The sequence below is a fragment of the Homo sapiens genome, chromosome 11 (assembly GCF_000001405.40).
Source record: "Homo sapiens chromosome 11, GRCh38.p14 Primary Assembly".
NCBI lineage: Eukaryota > Metazoa > Chordata > Mammalia > Primates > Hominidae > Homo > Homo sapiens.
In genome coordinates, this window is record NC_000011.10 from 76,596,339 (window position 1) to 76,605,822 (window position 9,484).

The following is a 9,484-nucleotide window of genomic DNA, read 5'->3' on the forward strand; positions in this document are numbered from 1 at the left end:
CAGGCATGAGCTGCTGTGCCCGGCCGTTATCGGATTATTTGTGCAGCCAGGTCCACCTCAGTGGACCATAATGCAGTCCTAATGGTCATGGCAGCAGGGCCTGGCCTGCACAGTAATTTGCACTGATCCTCCACCCTCCCTGCACCCCAACAGGTTTTATATTATCTCATGTCATGGGTTGAATCACATCCACAAAAATTCAAACGTTGAAATCCTGACCCCCAGAGCCTCAGAATGTGACCTTTTCGGAGATGGGATCTTTACAGAGGTCATCCAGGTAAAATGAGGTCATCAGAGTAGGCCTTTGTCCAATAAAACTGTCCTTGTAGGAAGGGGAAATTTGGAGACAGACACACAGGGAGAACCCTGTGTGAAAACGGAGGCAGAGACTGGAGTGATGCTCTCACAGGCCACAGGACGCGGAGGACTGCCAGCGAGCACCAGGAGGCAGGGAGAGGCGCAGGATGGGCGCTTCCTCTCAGCTCTCGGGAGGAAGCCCCTGGTGACATCTGGACCTTGGGCTGCAGCCTCCAGAACTCTGAGAGGACACCTCCCTGTCGTTTCTGCCCAGTGTGTGGCACTGTGCTATGGCAGCCCTGGCAAATGGATCCATCTCCTTTTTACTGATGAGTACAGCCAGGGTTGGGAAGTCACTCCCGTGAGCACGGTGGCCTCGCTGGCTGGAACTTGTTGCTCAGCCACCTCTTAAATGCCGATCCCCACCTCCACCTCCCCATTCCATCCTCCATCCAGAGCCCTCAGCTCTTCAGGCATTCATCATTTATGCACCTTTGAGGCAGGCAATGCTCCAAGCACAGGGCCCAGCAGAGAAACAAACAAACAAACAAACAAGCAAGCAAGCAAACAACAGACACCATTCCTCCACGTGGGGAACAAACAATAAGGAAGGTGAGTGACAGGTTAATAGTATGTTCCATGGTATACGTTCCACAGGGAAACTGAGGCACAGAGGGGGATAGGGAGTGTGGAATGGTGGACTTTTAAACAGGGCGGTTTGGGAAGGCTCACTGGGAAGGCACCCTCCTGGTCACTGCCCCTTCCCACACTGTAGCCCACTCCATGGAGGCCTCCCAGGCCCTCCCTGCCCAGGCTCTCTACCCAGTATCTCCCCCAGGACTTAAACTGCCCAACCCCAACTCAGCCTCCCCCATGTGCTCCCCACAACACATCCCAGCAAATGCCACCACCATCCATCTGCTTAGTATTCAAACCAGAAACCTGGATGCAAATTAGACCTCCCCAACTCTTGCCCTCACTCCATCTGGCCCTGGGAACTAGAGGTGCTCCCTTCATGAGTGCGGGAGACGCAAGCTTGGTTCCCCCTCCGGTCGGGCAGAGCACCCCAGTGGCAGGGGAGCGGGGACGGCTGTTTCCATAACTGGACCCAGTGGCCATGTCTAATCCCCTGTACAGACTCTGTCCTCTGCCTTCAGAGCCCATGGTCAGGCCCTGAGCCCTGCAAACCCACCTCCTCCTCTGTACCCACCAAATGCTGTGCCCCTCCCAGGGGCCTTCCTTGCCTTGACCAGTGAGAGCCAGTGGATGCCATGGACCAAGGCCCAGCAGCAGTCAGGGAACCCAGTCCCACCCCTTTCTGGACCTTCGTGTCCTCATCTGTAGAATGGGCAAAATTCCTGCCAGGCTGACCCTCAGGAAATCTTGGCTGAGTCAGTGGATGTGAACGGTGCTGCTCTGGGTGGTGTGGACACGTGGACCAGCTGGGGTGAGGGGCAGCCAGGGTGGGAAGCTGTGTGGGTTAATGTGGACCAGCCAGAGGCAGCACCTGTGACCCATGCACATGCGTGTGTCCATGGGAATGGGGAGGGGGAAAAGCCACGTTCTAGGTGGGCTCACCTGGCACCACCCACACCAGTCTGTGACAGGGCAAGATGAAGGAGAAAGAGGCTGCTGCTACCCACCTGCCTGCCTGCCCACTTCCTCCCTGACTCCTGCATGAAGAAAGGTGGCTGAGGGACTCCCCTAAATGTGCCAACCCTCACTGGGCAAGCCTGGGGCTGGGAAGACGTGTGAGGTCAGCAGTCCTGGGGTGGGGGGCCTTCCTTTGCTCCTCTGTGCCCCTGGGGTAGGGTGGGCTGCAGCATCATCTCAGTGCTGGGGGGTGACTAGCTCCCATCCTGCTAGGAGACTTTGTGCCAGCCACCCGGCTCCTCTGAGTTGACTCCCTCATCTACCTAACAGGGGTGATCATGCTGCCTTGGGTGGTGTTGAGAAGACTAAATGATACATGACACTTGGTCCCAGGACCCTCTTGTGACCTCTGGGTCCTGGCACCACTCACTGAGGTTTGCCCCTTGGCTCCTTCAGCATCCTCAAGTCACCCCTAGAGGTCTCTCTAACTGTGCGCTCCAGCTTAGTAGCCACCAGCCGCACGCGGCTACTGGGCATCTGAAATGTGGCTGGTCTGAAACGAGCTGTGCTGTGGGTGGAAAAGACACACCAGGTTTCAACAATACAAAAAAAAAAAAATGAAATACAACATTCATAATTTTTAATACTGATTACATGTTGAAAGGATAATATTTTGATATATTAAGTTAAATATATTATTAAAATTAAGTTCACTTGTTTCTTTTTACTTTCTTAATGTAGCTACTGGAGAAATGTCATTACATCCGAGTCTCACATTCTGTTTTATTGGATGGCCCTGCTCCAGAACCTTGGAAAGGCCACTTCCAGGGCATCTTCCTGGTGGCTCCCAGGAAAAGCAGCCCCTGGGATTTCCAGCAGCTGCTGAAGAATGTCTGCTCCCCTGGTGGCCCCAGGCTGCAGAACACACTCGCTGTGGCCTCACCCGCTCCCCACCCTTTCCCGCACATCCCATAGCCTCCCAGGAAGCTTAGACTCAGCTAAGGGACCCTCCCTGCTGCCCCCACCATGAGGGTAGCCAACAAAGCCTGCGGCCCCCTCCCCCAGCTGCTAAGAACCTCATAGCTGTATGGGAATTACCCTGGCGTCACTTTCTCCTTCCCAGCAGACCCCAGGGATGTGGCTTCCTTGCCCCAGGCCCTGAGTCACCCGCAAGGAATCCCCTCTCCTCTGGAGAGGGTTCTGCGGGCAGGAGGCAGCCTCTGTGGTCCTGAGGAGCATGGCTTCAGGAGTCAGAGAGACCTGGAGGTGAGTCCGGGCGCTGCCTCGTGCTCACCGTGTGGCTGGGGTAAGCCCCTCCTGTCTGCACCTCAACTTCCTCACTTATGAAATGGGCGTAATCACCGCGCCCACCTCATAGAGCTGTAGGGATGTCATCGAGGCATGGCGCTCTGCACAGCTCTTGGTTTGTAGTAAACAGCAGTTGTTAAAGGACCTGAAAGAGTTAGGGATGTGGCCTTTGACCTCAGGCTCACTAGGCCAGCCACAGAGAGGAGGCAGGTGCCAAGGTGGTGGGCCAGGGAAGGGTGGGGAGCAAGTGAGGCAGGAAGGAGGCAGGGGGATGGTAGCTCCCTTTCAGGCCTCAGGCTCTATGTAGCCCAACAGATAGCCCGGCTGGCCCATTTTCAGATGAGGAAAGTGAGGCTCTTAAAAGTGAAGCGACTTCCCCAAGGCTAGTGCTGGGGATTGATTTGGGGGCTACCTGTATCCAAGGCCTGTGTTCTCTCTGCCATCCTGTATTGTGAAGTTTGAGAGGAGTTTCTGGAGGAAATAAACACAAAATGGTTTGAGAAGAAGTTTGAGCTAATATAGTCCCTTTCCTGCAGGTGGTTTTGAGCCTTTGAAAGAAAGTATCCACAACTCCTGTCCTAAATCTCATCCCTGCAAAGCCAACCTTGACCCAAGGGCTTGGGTGCAGGTAGTTCATTCGGGAGGTGATGCCAGGCAACAGTGAGAAACGGAGAAGTGGGAAAGGGAGGGAGAAAACCCAGGAAGGTGGCTTCGATGAGCGGGTTACCACTGTGGGCACCTGGGCTCCATCCTGCTGGGCACCCTAGGAGCTGGAGTATAGAACACACATCATCAGAATCTCAAACTCAAGAGCTGGACGTTGGGGTGTTTGTCCACTTTTCATTCCCTGAGATTGAGGATTGCCCGTGAGGGTGTTGGGTCTCTGGCACATCCCTGCACAGGCTGAACAAGGTCCTTTGGTGCTGGAAGAAGCCCTTGGGTAGACAGACGGAGAGGAGAGAAGGGAAACAGGCGCTTGAGGCTGGGAGCGGGGCTGGCATGGGCAGATTATCCACAGAGTTGGCTCAGCCCCACTCCCGCCTCTGAAGAAAAGCATTCAAATAACACAATGACATTCATCACAGTTAATACTGATATAATTTCTATTGTTTATAATACATTTAACAGTAGAAATATATTATTATAATGATATATTTCTATATTATATTGATATAGAAATATAAGATATTAATATTAACACTAAATATTATATTAAATTAATATTAATATATTATATTTATATATTAATGTATTTCTATTGTGTGTGTGTGTGTGTGTGTGTGTGTATATATATATATATATATATATATATAAAAAATTTAGAAATAACCTAAATATCCAGTAAGAGGGGATTGGCTTAGTAAACTACGGTGCATCAAAAAGACAGAATATTCTGCAGCCAAAAATGAAGACTCTGTTGCTACATGGAAAGGTGCTTGGGAAAGAATATTAATTAAAACATGGTGCGTGCACACACTTCCCACCGTGGAAGGTGCTGTGGTCTGAGTGTTTGTGACCCCCAAAATTCATATGTTGAAACTTAATCCTCAGTGTGTTGGAATTAAGGGCTGGGGTACCTGGGAAGTGACGAGGTCTTTTTTTTTTTTTTTTTTTTTTTTGAGATGGAGTTTTGCTCTGTTGCCCAGGCTGGAGTGCAGTGGCACGATCTTGGCTCACTTCAACCTCTGCTTCCCAGGTTCAAGTGATTCTCCCACCTCAGCCTCCCGAGTAGCTGGGATTACAGGTGTGCACCACCATGCCCTGCTACTTTTGTATTTTTAGTAGAGATGGGTTTCACCATGTTGGCCAGGCTGGTCTCAAACTCCTGACCTCAAGTGATTCACCCGTCTCGGCCTCCTAAAGTGTTGGGATTACAGGCGTGAGCCACTGCACCTAGCCTGTGACCAGGTCTTGCGAGTAGAGCCCTTGTGAATGGGATCAGTGTCCTGACAAGAGAGGCCTGAGGGAGCTTGTTTGTCTCTCCCGCCATGTGAGATGCAGTGACAAGGCAGCAGCTATGAAGCATGGGCTGTCGTGAGACGCTGACTGGATCTGTTGGCACCTCCAGCTTGGACTTCCCAGACTCCAGAACCATGAGCAATATATTTTCATTGTTTACAAATTGTCCAGTATTTTCTGCAGCCAAAAGAGATTAGGACGGAAGGTGAGGGCTCTAGCAGAGAAACAGAACCAGTAAGAGGTACACATTAAGAGATGCGCTGCTAGGAATTGGCTTATATAGTTGTGGGCTAGGCTGGTCCAAAATTCATAACGCAGGCTGTCAGGAAGGGCAGGCTAGAATCCTAAGCCAAAGTTGCTGTCCACAGGTGGAATCTCTCCTTCTTCAGGCCTCTGCTCTGCTCTTAAAGGCCTTCACTTGATTGAATCAAGCCCGCCCAGATTGTGTGGGATAATCTCCTTACTTAAAGTCAGTTGATTTGGACTTTACTTCTACTAAAAACCTCCACAGCAACACCCAGATCAGTGTTTGAATGATGAGGACTGCAGCCTAGCCAAGTTGACACTTAAAACTGACCATCACAGAAGGTATATGGAGCTGCTGTCAGAGTGCTAGTGACAAAACTCACTTACTTAAAACTGATCATCACAGAAGGTGTATGGAGCTGCTGTCAGAGTGCTAGTGACAAAACTCACTTACTTAAAACTGACCATCACAGAAGGTGTATGGAGCTGCTGTCAGAGTGCTAGTGACAAAACTCACTTACTTAAAACTGACCATCACAGAAGGTGCATGGAGCTGCTGTCAGAGTGCTAGTGACAAAACTCACTTTGCGACCAGAGTCTGGCTCCTTCTGAGGCAGGGTCTGGGCTCACCTGAGACCACGGAGGTGAGCGAAGCCTCCAGCGGCATCCAGCTGGTACCAATCTATCCTGAGGCTTGATCTTTCCAGAGCCTCTGCCCCTGCCAGCAGATGTCGGGCAGCCAGGGCGGGGACCACTTTCTCTCCTGCAACCTTGGCCCCAGTGCTTATCACTTCTGGGCACAGTGCCTGCACTGACACAGCGCAGCCCTCTTCCTTCCTCCCCTCCTGGGCCTCCTGGGGCTGGGTGGGAAAGGCTGTGGGGAGGGGAGGTGGTGGCAGAGACAAGGCCTGAACACATGGATCCCATCAGTGACTTCACTCGGACTGGCCGTCACTAGACTTTCCCTGGCCTGGGTGAAGGTCTGGCTGAGGCTGACCTCGCCCTAGGTGTGGGATTTACACAGCCTCCAGCCTCCCAGGAAGATCCGAGGCAAAGGGGAAAGTGCTTCAGGATATGATTGACTGTTACCTTGGGCAAGTCCCTGGCCCTCTCTGCGCTCTCTGGTCTCCACTCACTGACGTGGGAAATGTTTGATGATGCCATTGGCCTTAATCTATTTGTGCTGCTATGACAAAATAATATATACTGGATGGCTTATAAGCAACAGAAACTTATATCTCACAGTTCCAAAGACTGGGAAGTTCAAGAGCAAGGTGCCAGCAGACTTGGTGTCTGGTGAGGGCTCACTCTTTGCTTCATGGATGGCACCTTCTAGCCATGTTCTCATGTGGTGGAAGGAGCTGGCTAGCTCTCTGCAGTCTCTTTATAAAGACACCAATCCCAATCCAATATAATCACCCCCGAAGCCCCCACCTCCTAATAGCATCACCTTGGTGGTTAGGATTTCAACATATGAAATTTGGGGGGACATGAACATTCTGGTCACAGCACCAGTGTTAGCCTCTGTGTATCGTGGGGTTAGTAATCAGAATCGAACTGCCCAAAGGAGGGCTGTGTGGATGTGGGGGCTGGGCCAAGTGGCATGAGCTGGAGCAGCTGGCTTGGGGTAGGGGGTACTTATGTCTGGAGTCTGATCTGCCCTTGTTGGCCTCAGGAGCCTTGTGCCACAGTCCTGGGATGAGCCCGCTAGACCCCTGGACCCTGTAGTATCCACCTCTGAGGCATCAGTGCCCAGCCCAGGGTCTGGCATAAAGGGGGCTCTCAGTGAGTAGGAAAGAAAGAACGGGAGAGAGAGGGGAGAGAGAGGAAGGGAGGAAGGGAAGAAGGAAAGGGTAAGACAAAGAGAGATTGAAAGAAAGAAAGAAAGAGAAAAGGGAAGGAGGGATGGAGGGAGGGAGGTGGGGAGACGGAGGGGAAAAGGACAGGGACTGCAGGAGTGGATGCGTGAAGGAAAGAATGAGACAGATGACCAGGCGGGTGGGTGACAGAGGCAGCAGCCATCTCCTCTGTGGCCCAGTTTTACTGCTGGCTCAAAATGTGCCACTGGATGGGCCTTTAGTGATCTCCAAAACAGCCCTTTCTATAGAAGAAGGAGCTGAGGCTCAGAGCGGAGAAAGGATACTTGAAGTCATGTGCAGAATAGAGGCAGGGACAGACGGGGGCTCTCATCTCATCTCAGGCTCATGGTCCTCCTCTTCCCACCTCCCAAGATCACCCTCAGAGAAATGGTTTCCTAGAGCCAAGTGGGGAGGTGACTGGAAGGTGGGCCCTGGAGAGGAGACCAGGGACAAAGGCCCCTTGGTCCAGGACGGAGGCCTGAAGGAGGGTGTCCTCGAGCCAGGTGTGCAGGTCTGGGTCCCTGCTCCGGGAGGAGGCAGCTGAGGCTGGCCAGGCCAGTGGGCAAGAGCTAACCGTTCTGGTATGACCATGGCTGCCCCAGGACCACTGCTATGGTGGGGACCACCTGGGCCGAGACTCCCCCTGTTCCACTGGTCTCACCAGCTCCTGCTGTGCTGGCATGTTCTGAGCCATGTTCTCTCTCTCTTTTCACACTGTCCCGCCCCCATCCCTGTTCTCCCTCCCTTTTACTCTGTCCTCTCTGGTGTCACATTGTGGAGTTTGGTGTCTGCTCCCCCCGCCTCTCCCTGAGGATCCAACTCTCAGCGCCCGCCTCTCTCCCACCTGCTCCCTGTCTGTGCACGCCATCGGCTCTGCCTCCTGCTGCTGTCAGCCGCAGCCCGCCTCTTGCTTTCAGTCAGTTCCTGTCTTGCTCTGCTCTGTCCTGGTGTCTCCCTCTGTCTCTCTCTGTCTCCTCCTGTCTCTGATGTTCTCTCTGCCTCCATCTCACTCTCCCTCTTTTCAAGTCACTAAAGCCTTGGCAGCCAGTTCTGGGCAGCACATCCCTCTTTCCTTCCCACCCCCATCTTGCCTACCTCTGGTAACAATTACTCTGGGCTGGGACGGAATCTTTCAGTGCCCCAGACAGACCTACAGACAGCACATGGGGACCAGATGGTGACAGATTCCCCAAGAAACTAACCACTTCAGCCAAGGGAGCAGGAGCCCCCAGGAAGGGTGAAGCCAGCTCAAGAGCAAAGACCTACAGTCCTGCAGCTGCCCCGGGACCCCCTAGAGCTACAGCCAGGGCTACTCTTCCCACTGAGCTGAAAGGCGTATGGGTGGGCCCAGACCCCCAAGCGCAGACACCGGCAGCAACCTAAGGCAGAGAAGGCCCCCCCAGAAACCACGTTGTCCTGCCCTGACCAGCCTGGAAACCTTCACACCCTGGCAGCGACCTTCTCAAGGTCACCAGTGACTGGGCAATCGACCAAAAGGCCTGAGTCTGAATCTGGGATGTGTTCCCAGGAGTGGGAGCCACATGATCTGGGATCTAGGCCCAGCTGCACCACATCCTGGCTGTGGGACTTTAGGCAAGTCACTGAACCTCTCAATGTCTTTGCCTGTACATCAGAAATAATAGTAGCACTTGTCTCAAGGATTGATAGGAGGATTCATGAGTTAATATGCATAAAGCACAAGCACAGAGCCTGGCCAGAGGGAGGGTTCAGTCAATGATAAATAATCCATCCACACATAATAGTTACATTATTATTATTAATCTTCCTAAATACAGCTCAGCTCAAGCCACTCCCTACTCATAAACCTACTGTGGATCCCCACTGTCCTACTGAATAAAGTCCAAGTGTTATAGTAGGTAGCTAATCGGACATGAGCAGGGCAGGAGAGGGCCCCTCCCAGGGAATGTCTGGTGATCATCAGATGACGGTCAGGTGGTTGTTAAACTGTCTCTCTAAAATAATAACTGGGCACACCCAGCACCAGGGAAAGGCAGTCTCCCAAAAAATAGAAAACACTTGATCCTGGTAGTCAGCAGCTTCCTGATAAGATCTCAGGAGTTGGGCAGGTGGGCCTAAGCATGCACACTGAGAGGCAAAATGGTGGAGTTCAACTGGTATTTGGCCTTCCTCTAGGAACACTCGACTGGTGAGGGAAGAATAGCTCAAGTGAGCATGCACACAACTTCAGTAAACACATTATG

General features: G+C 52.4%; 3 annotated features.

Annotated features, from left to right (window-relative positions):
- Positions 989 to 1,640: an enhancer, noted in NCBI's record as "H3K4me1 hESC enhancer chr11:76308371-76309022 (GRCh37/hg19 assembly coordinates)". NCBI's record gives its function as "activates a minimal SCP1, AML or CMV promoter by ChIP-STARR-seq in naive H9 embryonic stem cells {active_cell/tissue: H9 hESC(naive)}" and the evidence as "EXISTENCE:reporter gene assay evidence [ECO:0000049][PMID:30033119]".
- Positions 2,271 to 2,350: a silencer, noted in NCBI's record as "silent region_3783". NCBI's record gives its function as "represses an Ori minimal core promoter by ATAC-STARR-seq in GM12878 lymphoblastoid cells {active_cell/tissue: GM12878}" and the evidence as "EXISTENCE:reporter gene assay evidence [ECO:0000049][PMID:35858748]".
- Positions 7,425 to 7,926: an enhancer, noted in NCBI's record as "H3K4me1 hESC enhancer chr11:76314807-76315308 (GRCh37/hg19 assembly coordinates)". NCBI's record gives its function as "activates a minimal SCP1, AML or CMV promoter by ChIP-STARR-seq in naive H9 embryonic stem cells {active_cell/tissue: H9 hESC(naive)}" and the evidence as "EXISTENCE:reporter gene assay evidence [ECO:0000049][PMID:30033119]".